Raw genomic sequence first — 21122 nt, forward strand, 5'->3', positions numbered from 1 at the left:
AAGCCACTGATGAAGAAAGTCCCCGAAGGCAGGTAGAGGCTTGCTTAAAGCAACCTAGGACCTTCCAGGGTCCCAGGACCTGGCTGTTTGCCTGACTAGCTTGGGTCTCTGAAACAGAAGTGAGGCCAGGGAGAGTTAGTTATTCTGGGCCTCATGATGACATGTGCCTCCAGAGACCCAAGCCTGGCCTTTTGCCATGGGGTCCCTGGGAGCCTTCTGGCTACCAGCCATGGCACCCTGCCTTCTGATGTCTGGGGAGGGGCTGAGAGAGGGGGAGGGTCACTGCTTCTTAATGGCTTTCTGCCCAGAAAGCCTCTAGAACTGCCTGCTGCTGACTTTCTTTCCTTTCAGGGCATCCAGAGGGTTCAAGTTTAGATTTCAGGCTAAACTTCTGGGCTTAGAGGGTCCTGAGCATGGGACTGGATAAAGGAGGGAAGCCATCATCTCTTCAGAAGATGTTCAGAAAAGGGCATACACCCAGTCTATCTGAGCTGGGAGAGAGCTGCTGTTATGCCCTGGGGCAGGGGGATGGATGAAATGGCATTTGAGGGCTCAGATTCTCTTTGGGGCAAGACCTGACTTCCTATGGACTCCCAGGAGCAGCAGGGGAGTTCTGAGAGGAACTGTGATTGTCCAGAGTGGAGTTTCTTTGAGACTTGCCCTGTACCTAACCCCAAACAGATTTGATACTTAGAGACCTCTAACCCGGCATCTCATTGTACAGCTGGGAAAACTGAGACCCAGGAGGAAGGGGCCTCTCCGAGATGCCACAGTGAGTCAAGAGTCCTCACTTCAGAGGGCTGGAGAATAATCTACTGAGGCAGGGCCAGGGCACCTGTCTGAGAGGGGCTTCTAAGGCTGCAAGCTTTTCCCCTTCCGTGGACTGCATTCACACCTTGTTCGGTCCTGCTGGGGCCGGGGCTCTCCTTCCTTGCCCCTTTTCCTTGGCACTCTTTCCACAGGCCCTGTGTGGTCTGGGCTCTACCGAGAGGTCCCCAAGGAGAGCTGGCGTGTCAGTCAGCCAAGAAGCAAGCAGGCAGGCAATGCCAGCATGCAGGTGGCGGGGCTGGCAGGGGAGCCGGCAGGAGGGCCGGACACCCGGAGCCGGGGAACTGTAATGTTCAGGGAATTTCAATTGGCATTGCTGTCCCGTTCCAGCCAACTGGCTAACGGTGCCGAGTTTGAATCAGTGACCCGCCTCCTGGTCCCTCCTCCTTAGCCGGCCTCTCTCCCTCCCTCCTTTTTTCCCTCCCTCGGTGGCCTTCCAGGAGGCGGGAGGCGCCCGCTGTCGAGGCAGCTGAGCCCCGGCAACCGCTGCTCTCCGCCTCTCCCCTCGCGGGGCCGGCTCATGGAGCGCAGGGACCGGGCTGGCTCTCGCCGAGCCCCGGGCCTCTTTTAGCCTCGTCCCCAGAGAGGGAGGAGCCGGTGCCCGGCACAGCCCCGCCGGCCCTAGAAGCTCCCCACGCGCCACCATGCCTCTGCTGGACGTTTTCTGGTCTTGCTTCAGGAAGGTGAAGGTAAGTGACTGGCCAGCCCCAGCCCATCCCGCTGCTCAGGGGGGAAGGAGGCAGATGTGGACCACTGCGCACCAGCTGGGAAAACGGACCAGACGGGCTTCTGAGACTACCTGAGGCTCTCGGAGTTAGAAAGGCTTGGGTTCAAGTCTCACCTTTGTCACTTAACCAGTTCTGTGACCTTCTGTTGCATTCCCATACAAACAAGTCTGCTAGTTGGCTCTTTTTAATAAAACTCGCCTCTGTTGCTTCCTGGATCTTGCCACAAAGGCAAGATACTTAACCTCTCTGAACCTCAGTTTCCTCTCAGCTTTAGAATGAGGACCATAGTAACACCAACCTTACGGGGTGATGAGGTTGGTGTTATTGTTTACATAGCAAATGTATGCAAATCCAGGAGATAATGTGTGTAAGCTTCCTAGCAGGATGCCTGGTGTGGAGCATCCACACAAACAATGGTATCTATTATTATTATTATTATTAATTTCTATCCATATATATAAAAGCACATACTCTGTGCTAGGCACCACTGGAGCTACACAAAGACAAAAAAGGGCTGGACACAGTGGCTCACGTCTGTAATCCCAGCATTCTGGGAGGCCGAGGTGGGAGGATCACTTGAGGCCAGGGGTTCAAGACCAGCTTAGGCAACATAAGGAGACCCCCATCTCCATTTTTTAAAAGAAGACAAAGAAGGACATGGCTTTTGTCCTCAAAGAGAATATAAGAAAAGTGACAAATATTTACCAGGCACCTACTATATGCCAGACATTGTGCTAAATAGTCAGTTTGTCAGTAAATATTTGTTGAGTGTCTACTATATCCTGGCCATGGGGGATACATGAGCACAGCCGAACCCACAAGTGTGTGTAAAGCATGATTCCACTCTCAAGAACCAAGAAACTAATATTTATTTAGTATCCACTATGTACCAGACCTAGGCACTTTTAATTCATTCATGTGGCAGTGATCCTCAGCACAACCCATTGTTTTCCTGCTTTTATAGATAGGGAAAAGACACTGTGAATAGTTAAGAAATATTTACAAGGTTGCTCAGATATGACTGGCAGAGCTGGGATCTGAGCTCCTAAGTCCATGCCTTTCTTGACGCTGTGTGGTTTCCCACAGTCCAACCCAGTAGGAAGACTTTCAAACGACTAGCCTGACTGTAAGACAGGATGAAAGAATGCTGGGACCTTTGGGAAGGAAAGATCCATTCCACCGGGAGGGACTTGGAGAGGTTTCACAGGAGGTCACATTTGGGCTGAGCCTGAGGCTTAAAGGAAGAGAAGAGTTTGTCAGTCCAAAAGTGGGGGAAGGGCATTCCAGGCATGCCTGGCAGAGGGAACTTCGTGAGCTAGAGTTTGGAGGCAGTCAAATGGTAGTGGGCTGGGGGAAAGGCTTCTTTCGTGATGTGGCTCAAATGTAGGGTTAGAGAGGATAGGAGCTTGAGAAAGGGAAGCAGAGACTACTTCCCAAAGGGTTTGGAATTAATCTGTGGATTCATGGTCCTCATCTAGTAGGGGTCCTGAATGAGATTTTTCAACCATCTGTGGTGGAATGAGAGAAAAGTAGGGATAATGTCGTGCAGTGTTCATAAAACTAAATTAATTCAACTCAAAGGACTATTCTTTATTTGGAGACTGTTGTGTCCTTCCTGTGGGGGTGGGGATTCAAATGATCTTTCTCCTACAAAATATGAGTGAGAAATTTTTTAAATGTCTGCCCTCAGCAAAATTACAAAGTTTGCGACATGCTGATTGTTTCCCTATTTATTTATTTAAGAACACTTTCCTCATCCATGAAATCTGAAAGTCTGGTGACTACTGTTTTGGGGAATAAGGGGCTGATTTCAGCATAATAGGGATATAATTAAGTGGACGGTTTTAGAAAAAGCACTCCAGCAGTAGTGGGCAGGGATGGTGTGGAAGGGCCCAAGTGGAGATGCAGAGGCCAGGAAGGAGGCAGCTGCAGTGGAAATAAGGATGGGAGAGGAAGAAATGATAGAGAGCTGGATGGAATGATAATGACGAGGGAAGGGAAAATTAAAGTGCCTTTGAGGTTTGACGCCCGAGAGGCACCTCTGTCCCCTACCCCAGTTAACTGTTCTAGGTGCTTGGCATGGATTTAAATCTCTTTGCACTCATTACCCCAACTTCTCAGATGCCCAGAAAACATGTCCTAACCCCTGTCAGCCTCTTGGAAACTGTTGGGCTAGGTTAAGAGCAGTGGCTCATGCCTATAATTCTAGCATTTTGGGAGGCCAATGCGAGAGGATTGATTGAGGCCAGGAGTTCCAGACCAGCCTGGGCAATAATGAGACCCTTTATGAAAAATAAAAAAAATTTGCTGGGCACGGTGATGCATAATGGACACCTATAGTCCCAGTTACTTAGGAGACTGAATTGGGAGGATTGCTTGAGCCCAGGAGTTCAAGGCTGCAGTGTGCTATGATTGCACCACTACACTCCAGCCTGGACTACAGAGCAAGATCCTATAGAAGAAGAAGAAGGAGGAGGAGGAGGAGGAGGAAGAGGAGGAGGGGAGGAGGAGGAGGGGAGGAGGAGGAGGAGGAGGAGGAGGAGGAGGAATAGTAATTATAGGTATGGTGTCACGCCTGTAATCCCAGCACTTTGGGATGCCGAGGCAGGTGGATCACTTGAGTCCAGGAAATCAAGACCAGCCTGGGCAGCATAGTAAGACTGTGTCTCTAGAAAAAAAAATTTAAAATTAGTCAGGCATGGTGATGCATGCCTGTTTTCTCAGCTACTTGTGGGGCTGAGGCAGGAGGATGGCTGCAGTGAGTCATGATCGCACCACTGCACTCCAACCTGGCCATCAGACTAAGGCTATGTCTCAAACAAAACAAAACAAAACAAAACAAAACAAAACAAAACAAAACAAAACAAAACAAAACTGGTGGGCTAGGACAGCCCCAAGAGAAGGTTGAGGATCTCTATCATGGGTCCCAGACGTTTGCACGCATTCACTTATGAGTGTGTCCACAGAGGACATACACGTGCATTTGTGCATATTCAACCCCACACACATATGCACAGGCACACCATTCAAGTGTGCATACACACATACATAGAGACGAACACACATATACCCTGGCACAAACAGGCAAATGCACATGTACACACAGACAGTGCACATTCCTAGCATGATGTAGACTCACACACATATGCATGCATGCATATACAGAGGTAAGCACACAGGCACATCAGATACATACCCTCCTATGCACAAGCATGAGGGACACACAGAGACACAGCCAGGCACATCTCCAAAAAGCCTGTAGACATACAAAAGCATGCACACGGCGTGAAGGTCCACGTGCATGCACATGCATATGCACAGGTCTGTGGTTGCTCATGTCCTTGGCAGATGTGAATCAACACATGGCTGGATCTCAGGGCTAAGAGGCAGCCTGCCGGATCCACACACTTGGACTGCGTGCTCCCTTTTCCAATGCTGCTGCTTTGAGGCCCCAGTCAGAAAGGCAGGCTCTCTGGGCTCGGGAGCTCAGTCAAGGGCACGGGCTGCTGTGAGCCACCCTCCCTCTCTGAGCCAGGCCCCCTGAGTGCGGGAGACTGAGGGGTTTGAGGGGTGGGGAATGGCCGGGACAGATCCTGTCAGAGCTGAAAGGGCCCTCTCAGATCATCTTATTCAAACTTCTCATGGTCCTGATAGGGAAACCGAGCCCCTTCCCTCCCCCACCATATGGAGCCCTTCATCAGCTGAAGAGGTATGAGGAGGGGTGAAGCACACAAACTTGGGTTTCAATTCCACCCCACACCCACAGGCACACATACTAGCTGTGTGCCTTCGAGCAAGTCTTCTCCGAGCCTCAATTTCCTTGTTTGCAGAATGACACTAATCAGTGCCCGCCTCACAGAAATGCCACGAACATTTGGTGGGTGGGTTAAGTCTTTTTTTTTTTTTTTTGACCGAGTCTCGCTCTGTTGCCCAGGCTGGAGTGCAGTGTCTGCTCATTGCAACCTCCACCTCCCGGGTTCAAGCGATTCTCCTGCCTCAGCCTCCCGAGTAGCTGGAATTACAGGCGCCCGCCACCACGCCCAGCTAATTTTTTTTTTTTTTTGTATTTTTAGTAGAGACAGGGTTTCACCGTGTTGGCCAGGCTGGTCTCGAGCTCCTAACCCTAAGTGATCAGCCCGCCTTGGCTTCCCAAAGTGCGGGAATTACAGGCGTAAGTCACCACGCTCGGCAAGGCTGTGTCTTTAAAGTGCCTGACATGGAGTAGGTGGTCAATACACATGATTTGTTGGAAGCAGCTTCCGAAACTGTGTACTAGAGGCACCACAGCAAAGAATGAGGGTTATTCTATATTTGAAAATTCCAGGGTTAGGGTCTCAGGTCCAGTCTGCTCCTTTGCCACAACTCCTCAGCCCTCTACTTTGACTATGCCTGGGTCTAGGAATAGAAGTGATCCATTTGGGAGATGAAGGCTGACACCCCAGAAGCCAGGGATGGTGGGAAGGTGGCAAAAGGCCAGGCCAGGGCTCAGGATTGCTTTGAGCTGCTCTTGTGTTAGGGGCAGCCAAGGGACAAGACGTTTAAGTGTGAGATGAACCCAGTATAAATAGTCCAATACGTGTTTGCTGTGTCTTCCCCTGGAGGCCAGTCAGGGCCCGGAAGGCATCCATGGCCCCTTGGTACAACGAAGCATGCATGAGTCAGTTTCTCACCCGCTCCCCCGCAACACACAGCCACACACCCCACACTCCACACACATGAAACACACACCACACACACACCACAAACACATCACACCATACACACACCACACACCACACACATACACCACACTCCCCCACACACACACCCCACACACCACACACACACACACCACACACCACACACACACCCCACACACCCCACACCCCACACACACCCCCACACACCACACCACACACACACACACCCACACCCCACACACACACACCACACCACACACACCACACCACACACACACATCACACACACCACACACACACACCACACCACACACACACACCACACACCACACACCACACACACACCACACACCACACACACACCACCACACACACACACCCCACACACCACACACACACATCACACACCACACACACCACACACCACACACACACCACACCACACACCACACACACCACACACACACACCACACACCACACACACACCACACACCACACACACCACACCAAACACACACACCACACACACACAACACAGCACACACACATCACACACACACCACACCACACAACATACACACCACACCACACACACACACCACACATACACCACACACACCACACACCACACCACACACACACCACACACCACACACACACCACACCACACACCACACACACACACCCCACACACCACACACACCCCACACACACCCCCAAACGCACACCACACCACACACACACACCCCACACACACCACACACACCACACCACACACACCACACACCACACATACACCTCACACCACACACACACACCCCACACCCCACACACACACCCCACACCCCTCACACACACCATACACACCACACACACCACACACACCACAGCACACACACACCACAGCACACATACACCACACACACACCACACACACACCACACCACACAAGCACACACACCCCACCACACACACACACACCCCACACACCACACACACACCATACACGCCACATACACCCCCCAACACACCACACCACACACACACCACACCACACATACACCACACACACCACACCACACACACACACCACACGCCACACACACACACACCCCACACATCACACATACCACAAACACACACACCACATACACACACACACACCACATACATACAGAACCATTTCTTTGATGTATTCTTTTGCCCCCTTCCAGCACTTAGCATGGTGTTATGCACATAAGGGGTGCCCGGAACACAAATCCTCCCTCATGTTACTCCGCTTCAGGTGGGCATATCAGGTCCTAGAGGGCACTGGCTTGGGAGGTGGGAAATCTGCCTGGAGCGCCATCTCAACCATGACCTCTGGATGACCTTGAGAGGGTCAATTCTCTCTCCTGTCCCTCAGTTCCCTCCTCTTATAGGTAGATAATCATGCAATATCAGAGATGAAAAGGCCCTTGGAGGTCATCTATTCCTCTTTCTCTGTTCCTCTCTCCAAACTACCAGTGAGGAAACTGAGGCCCAGAGAGGGGAGAGATGTGGCCAAGGTCTCAGAGGGCATCAGGACACAGCGGATTCCAATGTGGTCTGTGTAATACACCATAATCTCCCTACTCGTTCTGTGGCAAAATCCAAACACAACTTGTCTCTGGTAAAATCTAAAAGCAGTACTGGGGGAATGTCTCTACACATGCCACACACACACATGCATACATGCACGTATGTGTTAACAACCCTGCCGTACCTACCCACAAGGCTTCTATGGGAGTTAAAGCAAATCATGGACAGACAGTCGTGTGGACTGGGAAGGCTCATAGAGGTGAACCTCCCAGTCGTGGGCCAACATGGGATCCCATGCTTTTCACTAGGCACCATACTCACATACTTAGGTCATGCACATGAGTGTGTATGTGCACAAGGGCTTTCCTGAGCTCGCCCAGGCACACATTCTCAAGCACCATCTCCTGTGAATGCTCTCATCCAAGTATGCATGAGACTTCCATGTGGCTGCTCTTATACATGGCTTCCCAGGCACCTGTTCATATGGGTGTGAGGTTTCACACCCCCTGTGCAGGCTCACATTCATGCACACACACACACACACTCGCAAGTGAGGTGAGCATGCATCCTCCTTATGTGTGCTTGCCCATACCCCAGCCCCTCTCTGCCCCCAGGCCAGCTCTCAGCTTCCCAATCTGCCTAGGAGCAGCCTGGCAGGATATGGGGTGAACGTGTGACGATGATAGGGTGATTCAGCAATTTCACTCCCAGCCTCCAGGATGTCTCTCCTTTTTCATTCCTTTGCCCTTGTCATCCCAAGTAAGTCCAATTTGCCACATGCAGTGTGTATTTGTTGTGGAAGGGGCAGGGGGAGTATAGAGAATTCAGGGGTTCACATGAATGTATACAAACTCCTGGGGCTGGAAAGGGACCTCAGAGACTCCTCGATGCCATCACTACAGAGTTGCCTCTATCACATCTTACCAAAAGAATGGCCAGACACTTGCACACCTCCAGTGATGTGGAGCTCACCGCTTCCTCAGGACACTATTGCAGATCCCTTCGTCAGTCTGATGTGTGTGTGTGTGTGTCTGTCTGTCTGTGAGTGGAAGTACTAATGTACATGTGCACATATGAGACAGTATATACAGCCAGCCACGTCTTAATTACTTGTTCCAAAGAAATAAATTATGACATAAGACTCTCAGGTCATGGTAAAACCACGTAGAGGGGGAAAGGCAAGGGCCTATACTCCATAGAAGGAAGGTTCACTCGCAGGGCCCTTTCTGCAGAGTTCCACAGCCCACTCAAATAACCTGTCAGCTGGGTGATAGGTATTGGCCCCCTATATGTGTGAAAAATTCAGACCGTGGATTGTCCCTGACATGGTTAATTGTAAGATGCCTAGATGCTGGACATATGCTGTGTAACTTTGAGGCACAGGCCCATGGGCTAGAGCAAAATAATAAGTTGTGGTAAGGTTATTGGCATAGATGGAGCTCAAGAGAGTTGTGAGGTGGCTTCTGGGTGATCTAGGAAGCTTTCTGGGACCAGTTTTTGGGACCAGAGTAGAAGGCAGCTTAGTGTTGCCAAAGGAGCACTGGACACAGAGTGAGACTGACCTGGATATTACGTCCACCTCTGCCACATCTAGGCTGAGTGCTCCTGGGCCTGTCACCTCTCCTCAGTGGATAAGACTTAATGGAGTTGCCAGCGAGATGATGTCTGTAAAAGCCTGTTACAAGGTAGATGCTCCATTGAATCTGAATCTGAAGGGATGATCTTTGGAAGAAAAGGGCAAGGAGTGTTTTCAAGGCAGAGTGAGGTTGGAGACATGTGAGGGAAGAGTCATAGATCCAAGGGACTTGTCCTGAGTGGAGGTGTTGGGAATGAATGGAAATGGGAAGAGGAGGAAGAACAAGAGACTTTGAAATTTGTCTGTGGGAGTTTGAACTTCATGTTCTTGATGCAGTGAAAAGACCAAAACATCTACATGGAGTCAAGCCCTTCACCTATCTGAGCCACAACTTGCTAGCTGTGTTGACCATGAGAAAGTTACTTCGCCTTTCTCAAAAGAAGACATTTATGCCGCCAAAAGACACATGAAAAAATGCTCATCATCACTGGCCATCAGAGAAATGCAAATCAAAACCACAGTGAGATACCATCTCACACCAGTTAGAATGGCGATCATTAAAAAGTCAGGAAACAACATCAGGAGAGGGTGTGGAGAAATAGGATCACTTTTACACTGTTGGTGGGACTGTAAACTAGTTCAGCCATTGTGGAAGACAGTGTGGCGATTCCTCAAGGATCTAGAAGTAGAAATACCATTTGACCCAGCCATCCCATTACTGGGTATATACCCAAAAGATTATAAATCATGCTGCTAATAAAGACACATGCACGCATATGTTTATTGTGGCACTATTCACAATAGCAAAGACTTGGAACCAACCCAAATGTCCATCAATGATAGACTGGATTAAGACAATGTGGCACCTATACACACCATGGAATACTATGCAGCCATAAAAAAGGATGAGTTCGTGTCCTTTGTAGGGACATGGATGAAGATGGAAACCATCATTCTCAGCAAACTATCTCAAGGACAAAAAACCAAACACCGCATGTTCTCACTCATGGGTGGGAATTGAACAATGAGAACACCTGGACACAGGAAGGGGAACATCACAGACCGGGGCCTGTTGTGGGGTGGAGGAGGGGGGAGGGATAGCATTAGGAGATATACCTAATGTAAATGATGAGTTAATGGGTGCAGCACACCAACATGGCACATGTATACATATGTAACAAACCTGCACATTGTGCACATGTACCCTAGAACTTAAAAGTATAATTAAAAAAGAAAAAAAGTTACTTCGCCTTTCTGAGCCTTAGTTTCTTGCTCCAAAAAATGTAGATAATAGTACCCAACTTACATGGTTATTATGAAGCTCAAATGAGTTAATATGTATAAAGCTCTTAGAAAAGGGGCACATAGTAAGCATTGCTCATCTTTATTATTTGTACACTGGGGAGAATGATAACTCCTACCTTATAGGGCTGTAGTAAGGATCAAATGAGAATGATCCCAAAGCCTGTTGAGATGTTTATTTGTTGTTATCTTGGACAAAATGTGTGTGTGTGGGGGAGTTTCCTTAGGCTGAGAATAGCCTTAAGTAATTCATTCTTTCACTAGTTCAACCAAGCAATATTTATTCAGGGCCTACTATGTGCCAGACACTGTGTTAGGTCTTGAGGAGATAGGTAATGGTGAGCAAAACTGCTGTAGGTCCTCATCTCATGCAGCTTACTGTCTAGTGGATACAAAATGAGTTTTTCACACTCAACCCCCAAGTGCCCTATTGGTGGGCACGATTGATTTAGTCCAGAAAATTTCAGTATATGAAACTGTTCAATGCGTTAACAGTTTTAGTTAATCTAGAACCTGTGATTGGCCATCCCACCTAGTCCTTAAGGCAAAGGGATAGCCATGCTGAAGTGTGAGTAATTCCTGCAACAGCAAAGTCTGGAACAATCTTAGGCTCAGCCTGGAAATGGGGATGGGGACCCCTCTGCCAAATTTGCCTGATCCGAAGCTCCTAACCCTTGCCCCATCAGCACAACTGGTGTGATTTACTCGAGTCATGTGAGATTGGATAATATTTGTTCTCGGGGGTGGAAGAGATGGGGACGAGCATTGGGAAGGTGAGATGGGGAGTAGGAAGCAAGGCTTCAACTCTGACTTAAGTCTCTTCAGATACAGATTCTTACTTTGCTTTTAGCTTCTTTGATGCCAAAAGGTGTACAAGTGGGAGGTCCCGGCGGGGTGGAGGATATACTTCCTATGGCTATGGTGGAGGTTGGGGGAGGCAAAAATGAGTTGGAAGAGGCTGCAGATTGGCAATACCAGACTTCTCTTTTACCCCTAAAGACTAGAGAAAGTTAGAACTAATACTAGCTAATATTTGCACTTGATCTTAGCCAAGAGGTCAGGAAGTGATACTAGCTAATATTTGTAGAGCACATACTATGTGGTGTACACTGTTCGAAACCCTCCACATATATTAACTCATTTCACCATCACAATAATCCTGCAAGGCAAGCTATCATTGTCATCATCCTCATTTTACTGAAACACAGAAAGGTTTAGAAATTTATCCAAGATTACACAGCTATTAAGTGGTGAATTGGGGATTTTTAACCCAGGTAATCTAGTTTCAAAGTCCACTATGTTCATGTAATCTGTGCTGCATTTCTCCACCTATAAAATGAGGAGGCTGGATTGGTTTATCTCTGAGTCTTTCCAGCTCTGACAGTCTCATTATATTTCACATATACTTCTATGAACTTCCAGGCCAAATGAAAAAAAAATGCTGCTCCCAAATGTCAGTGATTTCCACTAAAGTCCCTCGGGAGGAGAGTGGGGAGCCCAGGCTCAGGGAAAAGAGCCGACACTGGAGCTTGGTCTTCCCAGCAGCCTCTAGGGCCTGAGAACAGCTGGGGACCTGGGAAGCTCTGGGAGCCAGGGCCCGGCCTGCATTTCCAAGTCACTTGTAACAATAACAAGGAGCAGCAGCTCAGGCAGCCTCTGCTGGGATTTGGGGTCAGAGGTTTCACAGTGGGTGGAGGAACAGACCTCCTCAACTCCATCCCTCTGGGCAGCCCTTGAGCTGTTGCTGCTGCTGCTGTCAGGGCCCTTAGAGTCCAGGTCAATCAGCAGTTCCAAGGCTGAGGCTGCCAAGGGGCAGGGGAAAGGAAGTCCTGCACTTGGGGAATGGGAGTTGAGGCCCTGGAAATGGATGCAGGCTGACTTTCCCTGGCCCTTTCCTCTACCTTGGGTTGGTTGCCTTCTGGGAGCTGGAGAGAAGAATGTAGTATGAAGATATAATGTCATAGATGGAAATAGGACACTGATCTAACAGCCCTGGTTCTGCCTCCTCTTCTCTTCTCTAAGCCTCAGTTTCCTTACCTACAACATGAGGAGAATATTCCCCACTTCATAATTGATTGTGATGATGACCTATGTGAAAAGGCCTGCCACACAATGGGTGCTCAGTAAATATGAGTTGAATGTAAAGATAGTTGATTGATTGCTCTAGGTGACCCTGGGCCCATAGCTTGGACTCTGTTTTTTCATCTATAAAATGAGGAAACATTTTTACCTGCCATTCCCTTCATTCCCTGGCTGAGGAGAGCCTAGAATTGGGGACATCCTGTGGAAGTGAAAGGACAGTAGAAAACACAGATGCGACTACCCTCAGGGTCAGGAAGTGGGTTGTTTAAGCAATTTCCTCATTCCTTCTATTCCCGCCCCTGCTCCCACCCCTGGTCAGACTAGTTTAGAGTCTGGAAAAGAAGCTCCATCCCACACTGGAATCCCCGTGTCTCTCTCCTCCAGCCCCTTCCTACACTCACCCTTATAGGGCGCCTCTCCCGGAAAGACTCTGCAGTTCTGGGCAGGAAGGAGGGTCCCTGTTGACTGGTGAGAAAGTCAAGTCTTTGGGATATTACATTCCTGAGATTATCCAGAGAACCCCTGGGGGTTGCAGCTGCTGCTGACTCTCCTCCCTGGCCCTACTCTTGGCCTGCTGTGGACATGAGGACTGTAGGGCCCAAGGCAGGAGAAAGATTGGGGGAAAGGCTCAAAGGCAAAGAGTCAGGCCTGGAGCAGCCCTGCAGGCCAGGTGAGGAGTCAGGATGGGGCAGGAGGAAAGGATGTCCTGGCAGCACTGGCAGGAAGGAATTAAGGGGAAAAGCGTCCGAGGGAGTAGGAATTTTTGCCAAGGGGAGACTTATAAAACCATCAGCATTCCTTAGGCTATAGGTTGGGGGCCCTTTTCGGGGGTGGATGAGTAGGTATTAGATCACAGTCATCCTGGTGGATAGAGATGGAAAGTCAGGCTTTCTGAGAGGCCTTCTGTGAGGCCCACATACTCCAAGCCAGTGTGGGACAGCTTGCACCCTTGGGGGGAGACAGAGGGGAGGTAGGTGTTCTGGGGGTTCCTCAGGAGGCTGTCCCAGATTCTGAGTTCTATAAAAGCCTTCTAGAATTTATTGCTTCCATTGCTCTTTCCCAGCTGGGATTGTTCCTCATCCTCTCCTTTGTGATAGAAGACTAAGAATTGTCAGGCACCTACCTCTCATTTGGTAACAAGTCTGAAGCCCAGCAAAGAATTGGTCAAAGGTACAGGGTCAAGCGCAGAATGTGTCAGTCAGTCCTTCTTGAAACCAGCTCTCCTCTGCCCTTTTCAGGGACAAGATTGGCATCCTCCAGGGCTGTAGCACCCCATCCCCAGCAGACATCACATCCCGAACATGAGCATATGTCTCCAGGTCATTGACATGGGGTTTAAAAGTGGCACCGTGACACCAGTGCTCCAACTTAGGACCTGGTGGCAGGCTCAATTGAGCTTCAGCCCACATACCATCCTCCATCTCTACTCAGCTGTCTCTGAACTGTGAGCTGCTCTAAGAAACCAGCCTGTGTCTAATTGACCCCTGTGTCCTGCGACAACCTGGCTCAAAACAGCCCCTATTCTAGGCCTAGCCTAGAGAAAGTTTGCCAAGTGCATAGAACACACATGGACTCCCATGTACGTACAAGTGGCCAAAGCCACTGCACCCACCTTCCAGCTGAGAGACCCCAAGACAGAGGAGTCAGCTCCAGAGGGCTCATGAGAGCCTGCTTTCCACAGTGGCCATGGTCTGTGCTGGCAAAACTCAGGATAGGCCTGGGGGCGGTGAGAGCCCACTCTGGAAGAAGGGAGGGCCAAGCTGTGAATAGGGCTCTGTGTGGCCCGGCTGAGAAGGCTGGGGGAGGCTGGAATGTGAAGAACGTGCTCTCATGACTGTGGTCCTAGGCCTGGGTCTATGGCACAGGACTGGCTAGGAGTGAGGGGTGGGGATGTTGGAGGTGGTTAGAGAAGGAAGGGAGAGGTGGGGCAGAGAAACCAGGCAAGGCAAGGAAAAAAAGTCTCTCCAGACATCTCCTCAGATACCAGGGCAAGGGCTGGTCCTAGAGCCTGGAGGCTGAGCGAAGAGGATGCTGGGGAGAGTGAGCTCCATCCCAGCCACTTGTGGCTGAGGATGGCCCGGTTCTGGACAAAGCTTGTCCATAGCCTTTGCAGCTTGTCTCCAAACTACACCTCTCAGACCTCCCTACTTCTCACCCAGCAACCATCGTTCTGTTTTTATCCTCCTTTTGGCTCTGGCTTTCGCATTTGCACTCTTTCAACGTGTTTCCCTTTTCTCTGAAAAAACTCATGATCTGCCTTTTATTTTTGCCTGGCAACTGTATCTCCCACTAGACTGAGAGCTCCTCCAGGGCAGGAATCACATCTGCTTTTGTTCATGTTTGCATCTGCAGGTCTACCCCAGTGCCTAGTGGACTGCTCAGAGCAGATGCTCCACAGACTTTTTTGAATTCAACAGGTCTAAGGGGAAATTCATTACAACAGGAAGATTTCCCCCCGTATACCCCCAAATAACTTTTTCCTCTGTTCCTGACTTCAGTTAATAGCACCACCATCCACCCAGTTGCCAGGCCAGAAACATTGGGGTCATCCTTGACTCCTCGCTTATCTTCCCACATCCTATCATTTACTTTGGTTCTACCATGTAAATTGTCTATATATTGGTCCCCTTCTTCCTACCCTAAGGACCACTGCCCAACCCAGAACCTTACCACTAACTCTGGTCTCCCTTTGTTTTTCCTTCTTTCTTTCTTTTCCTTCCTTCCTTCCTTCCTTCCTTCCTTCCTTCCTTCCTTCCTTCCTTCCCTCCCTCCCTCCTTCCTCTCTCTCTCTCTCTCTCTCTCTCTCTTTCTTTCTTTCTTTCTTTCTTTCTTTCTTTCTTTCTTTCTTTCTTTCTTTCTTTTTGGAGTTTCGCTCTTGTTGCCCAGGCTGGAGTGCCATGGCGTGATCTCAGCTCACTGCAACCTCCGCCTCCCAGGTTCAAGTGATTCTCCTGCCTCAGCCTCCTGAGTAGCTGGGATTGTAGGCATGTGCCACCACGCCCAGCTAATTTTTTGTATTTTTAGTAGAGACAGGGTTTTTCTATGTTGGTCAGGCTGGTCTCGAACTCCCGACCTCAGGGGATCCACCCGCCTTGGACTCCCAAAGTGCTGGGAGGCCACTGTGCCGGGCCTCTGGTCTCCCCTTCTCTAGTTTTGCCTAGGCCCCCCATTCCCAATCCATCCTTCACTCAACAGTTAGAGTAACATTCCGAAACATAAATCTGACTACGTTACCTCTCTGTTTAGGCCCCCTCAATGGCTCTCCATTGGGCTCTAGATAAAGTCTCAAGTTCTTAAGATGACCTATAAGGCCCTTCGTGATCTGGCCCCTAACCTGCTGCTTCAGATTCATTTCCCACTCTCTGTCTGGCACTCTGCTCTCCAGCTAGACCAAGGTCCTAAATGTGACAGTTCTGGGAAATGAGATGAACAGACGGGTGGGACAAACCACAGGCTTTGATACATCCTCATCCTTTTCTATTCTCTCCCTTCTACCTGCCAGGCTCTTTGCCCCCTTGTCTTCTTGATGAACAACTGCTTAGCTTTCAAGACCTGTTCTAAACACTACTTCCTTCATGAGGGTCCTTATGACAATGTGCCCCCACTCCCAGCAACAAATTACTCCCTCTGCTCAGTTCCACAAGGCTTTATACTTTCCAATAGCACTCACATTGAATTGTGATGATTTGTGCATGTAATCGACTCCCCCTCTGAGCTGAGAGTTCATCAAGGGCAGGGAATATGTCTGATCTATATGAATCCCTGAGTACCTAGCACAGGACTTAGCTCTGAGGAGGTACCTAATGAATGAGTGAATAAATAAAGGAATATATGAATGAATGACCCACTGGATGAGAAGATTGTCACCACTAATCCTGGTCTTCTTCTAGAGTGGCTGTCTTTATAACTTTTGGATTCTTGGCCTCTGGGTTCAGAACCTCCAAATCAGAGGGATATGTTCTACAACAAGGAAACAAAAAGGGCCTTCACTTTGTAGCAGAAATCTTTGATGCAAAAGTTCATATGCTATCTTCCCCTGTAAGTCTTTCAGCTACCAAAATAGCATCAAGATTAAGGTCAAAAGCAGAGTGGGACTCATGGGCCTGATCCAATCCAGGTTATTCTGGACCTCAGAGAGAAAAAAATAGAGTGCCATAAAATTGGGAGCCCTATTGATCTCAAGCACAGACTTGGTTCTGACATTTACCTTGACCTTGAGCAAATCATTTCACTTCTGTGCCCCATTTGCCTTATGTGTCACATGAAGATAATAAAATCTACCATGCAAGATGGTTGTAATGGCCAAAGAAGGTCACTCATTTGCAACCTATAAATCCCTAAATTTAAGGCCTACTTATCTCCTGAACTATCTGTAATTCTGTTAAAACTATGATGGGTTAGGCTGGTGGAGTGGGGGAGTAGGAGATTTAATAGGACTAGAGCATAGAGTACAGTCTGTCCCACCCATCAGTTCATCTCTTAATTTCCAAGAACTGTCACATTTAAGACCTCACAGGGGCCTGCTTTGTCCTTCTCTTCTACTCTCTCATCCTTTCTCATTCTTCTTTCCTCCCCCTTTGTCTACACTGAGAATTATATTGACTTGCTTAATCATAGTTCCACTTTGTAGCTTTGTAGCAAACTTTCATATCTGTCGCTATTGGTCTTTCTCCTCTGGTCACGCCGATCTCATTCTAGAACTTTTTATCTCCTTCACACTAACATCCCTCAAGGGTCCTGCCAGTGAACACTCGGGAGGACATCCCCCATCCCTCCTCTCTCCTGTGGCCAATTGTGGGCTACGAGGGTGGATCAGACCTTTAGTCATTTTAGGGTAATCTAAGGCTGAGACAAATCTTTTAGGATTAGGAAGCATTGTGGTCAAGTGTCTGCACCTGGTATGGCAGTCATTGTGCAGAGGGTAAGAGATAGACACATACTATGGCAACTATTTTCCTGATAACCACTTGGTTGGTTTAGAGGCTGGCTGTGTGAAAGGAGAACAGGCAAGAAGACCCTTCTACCTCTAAGAGGTACCCTTCTTTCCTTCCTTCTTTCTTTTCTCTCCTCCTTAACTATTGAATGAATGTCTCTACAACTACCATTTTAGCCCAAGCCACTGACATTGTTTGCCTGAACTACTGCAAAAGCCTCCTAACAGATCTCCCCACTTCCACCCTGGCTCTACAATCCACTTCCTACCCAGCAGCCAGAGTGACCTTTTGAAGGTAGAAATCAGATCTTGTCATTCTCCTGCTCTATATCCACCAATGGCTGCCTACTGTAATTTGAATCAAAGTCCAAATCCTTACCCTGGCCTTAGCCTCTCATAATTTGGCCTTCGTTTCTCTCTTCACCATCCGCCTGAAATGCTCTTCACCTAGCTCTTCACATTGCTGACAACTTCTTGCCATCTGGGTCTCTGCTCAAAGTTCAGCTCTTTAGAGAGACCCCTCAGGCCACCTCTCTATCCCCCCACTCAATCACTCTCTACCTCATCCTGTCTTTAAAAGTTTCTCCTTCTTGGTTCTTAGTGATGACTGAAATTTCCTTATTTCTTTGTTTACTTATTTATTGTTTGTCTCTTCCTACTAAGAGTTCAGCTGCGTAAGGATCTCATCTGTCTAGATCACTGCTATATCCTTAGCATCTAGCATAGTGCTCTGAAGGGCACTGGTATTGTATAAATATTTGTTGAATGCATGAATTTATAGAGTGCTTAATCATTTTAAAAAGTGCCTTTATGTACGTTAATTTGTCACAAAGCCTGTGAAGTCGGGATTATTGCTTTCCTAGTCTTATGAATGCAGATGCTGAGGCTAAAGAGGTTATGAGTGATGTTCAATGTCACATAATCAGTAAGCAGGGGAAGGTGACCCTGAACTTGGGTTCTCCAATTCTGAATACTGCCCTTGCCACCAACACATCCTGTTTCTAGCCTTGTTGATGCTATACCAAGGATGGTATGTGCCAAGCAAATGTTGACTTATTCTTTAATAATCTTTCTTATCAGGCCTCGGAACAGTACTGTGAGCTGTGGCAGAGTGTCTCCAATCCCCTGACCTGGGGGCCTTCTCCATTCAGGGAGAGTGAAGTGAACCAGCAGGATCAGCCATGGGGTAGCAGAAAGTACAGTTGTATGGAGTGGGCAGCCAGGAGTCTGGGTCTGGGCTCCACTTTGCTCCTTACTTCATTTTCCTTTTCTTTGGACCTCCATGTGTCTTTCTGTAAAATGGGTAATGGGTAGATCGAACTTGCTAACTTTAAGATCGCTTTCAGTTCAGATATTGCATCTCTGCAATGCCTTGACTTCTTCTCTGTTTCTTTTGCAGTGCTTCCCATTGCTGCAGGTGAAGAAGAACGCTGGTAAGTACACGAGGTGGGCATTGCAAGTGGCATACAAAGAGACTGAGCTTCTCAGTAGTCCTCATGGGGCAACCGATCAGGTCCCTGGGCAGCAGAGCCAACGGCCGAGATGCAAAAGCCGGAGACATCCTCTCTGTCTCCCTCCACTGGGCATTTGCTGTCCTCCTCGGGCCCTGCTTTTTGGCTCACGTGCAGAGCCTCTTTATTTCTCAGCCGGAGGTTTTGCTCTTGTCAGAGAGCCAGGGGAGGACTTCCCTCCAGAGCTTTCAGCAAGTGGCAGCCACCCATATACTTCCCTTGTTCTCAAATGCCTTCTTTCCACTGGGAAGTGTATTAGGGGTGAGAGATGCCTCAGGAGAGAAAACAGGTAAGTGGAGGGTAAAGGAAGGAGACTTGGAATTTGGGGTTCAGTGTCTGTTATATTCCCAGCACTTGCTTTATCTAGAAGGCTTCCAACAGGAGGTAGGCTTTGGAGTTCATTAGACTGAGGTGATATATATAGCCTTTTCCTTTTGCTCTCTCACAAGTTTCTGTGAGCCCAACTTCCCATCTTCCTGGTGCCTCTGGTGTCCTACTTGGGTGTGGATAAGTGGATGGCATACTGGGAGCAACTACCTTCCATTGAGAAGGATACAGTTGTCTAGAGAGGGATAACAGCTTTGTGGAGGAAGAGAAAGAAGGCTACTGGCCAGGGAAGAGTTTGGTGCTGGAGCCTGAACTCCTGGTATCAGCTGGGCTTTGCTAAGGTCATCGAGGCCATCGTCCTGGCTCTAGCCTGACTTCAGCCATTCCCATTGGCTCCAATTTTTCATCAGGATGAGCTCATGACTTGAATGAGCATAGCTTCTAGGAGACAGTTAGGATTGGGGTTGCCAAAACAGAAAGGCATCTATTAACAAGTGGCATGCTAAGGGCCTGTGCAAGGCATCTTGGGAAGACGTTGGAAGAGACAACCAGAACCCTTACTAATAAGAACCTTCCAAAGTAGTTGGAGCTGGTTTGGGCGAATCACGCCAGGATGCAGAGAGAGGATTCTAGTGACTTCCCAAGGACGTTTCCATCTTACGGCTCTGAGTTTTTGGGTGGTGGCTGCTACAAAACAAGAACTGATAGGTGAGGGGTTTATTTGCATTGCCATGACAGCAGAGAAGAGAGGATTTATTTTGAAACAGGAACACTGCTTTGATCAGCATACAGCATACATCTGCTTCTCCACTTCCCCACCCTGCCTTTCCCCGTCATCATCATTCCAAGGCGTCTTGCTGCGCAGTTTCTGCTTTGCAACAGAGACTTCTGAGGGCACAAGGTCTGTGCACTGCCCATACTAGGGGAAGGACACACTTCTCCATTTCAGAGACACCAGCTTCAAAGGCTAAAAGAAACCCCTCAGGCCCTGAAATAGTGACCCCCTTAGATGAATGCACCCACAGCTGCCAAGTTACTTCTTTAGAATATCTGTGCCAGGCAGAGGTGCCAGCACTGAGCTCTGGGAGGGTGGCTTCCAGAGGAGCCAGGACTATCTTTTACTGGGTAGGGTCAGGCAGAGGAGGTTGCCACCTACAAAGCTGAGATGGGACTGGTCTTTCTGCTATTTCTTAGGTTAAAGTTTGAAAATGTCTATTTAAAGGCAAATGGGAACACATTGTTTCAGGCTGATTCAAAAACAATCTGACATAAATTATGAGTTTATGTGGATGTGGAAATGGTAGCAGCAAGGCACTGGGAATCAAAGCACCTGGATTTTAGCCCAAATTTCATTATAGATTCACTGTGTGAGCCCAGGAAAGTAGCTTCCTCTGTCTGGGCTGGCATCTACATCTACAAAATGGAGCTTATTGCATGGGACTCTTGTATGGATCACAATAGACAGCGCATTAAAAATGTCAAAGTACTGAACAAATGTGATTGTTTCTGAAATTTAGGTCAGGGGGTGAGCAGAACGCTTCATCTGTTTTATTACGTATTATTTGAGAAATAGGTAATACCTTCACAGGTTTCAA

At 48.5% G+C, this 21122-nt stretch overlaps 1 protein-coding gene across 3 annotated transcripts in view; it reads left to right on the forward strand.

Moving 5' to 3' along the window:
- The window catches only part of STARD8 (StAR related lipid transfer domain containing 8), a 78171-nt gene continuing 58304 nt past the window's right edge, over nt 1256–21122 (forward strand). For all 3 annotated transcript variants that reach the window (XM_005262314.5, NM_001142503.3, NM_014725.5), the window contains exons 1-2: nt 1256–1517; nt 19089–19122. In XM_005262314.5, coding sequence (XP_005262371.1) covers nt 1473–1517; nt 19089–19122 — 79 coding nt within the window. In that variant the 5' untranslated portion in view covers nt 1256–1472. The remainder of the gene's footprint in view (nt 1518–19088; nt 19123–21122) is intronic.

This window comes from Homo sapiens, chromosome X, assembly GCF_000001405.40.
Source record: "Homo sapiens chromosome X, GRCh38.p14 Primary Assembly".
In the NCBI taxonomy this organism is placed as follows: Eukaryota; Metazoa; Chordata; class Mammalia; order Primates; family Hominidae; genus Homo; species Homo sapiens.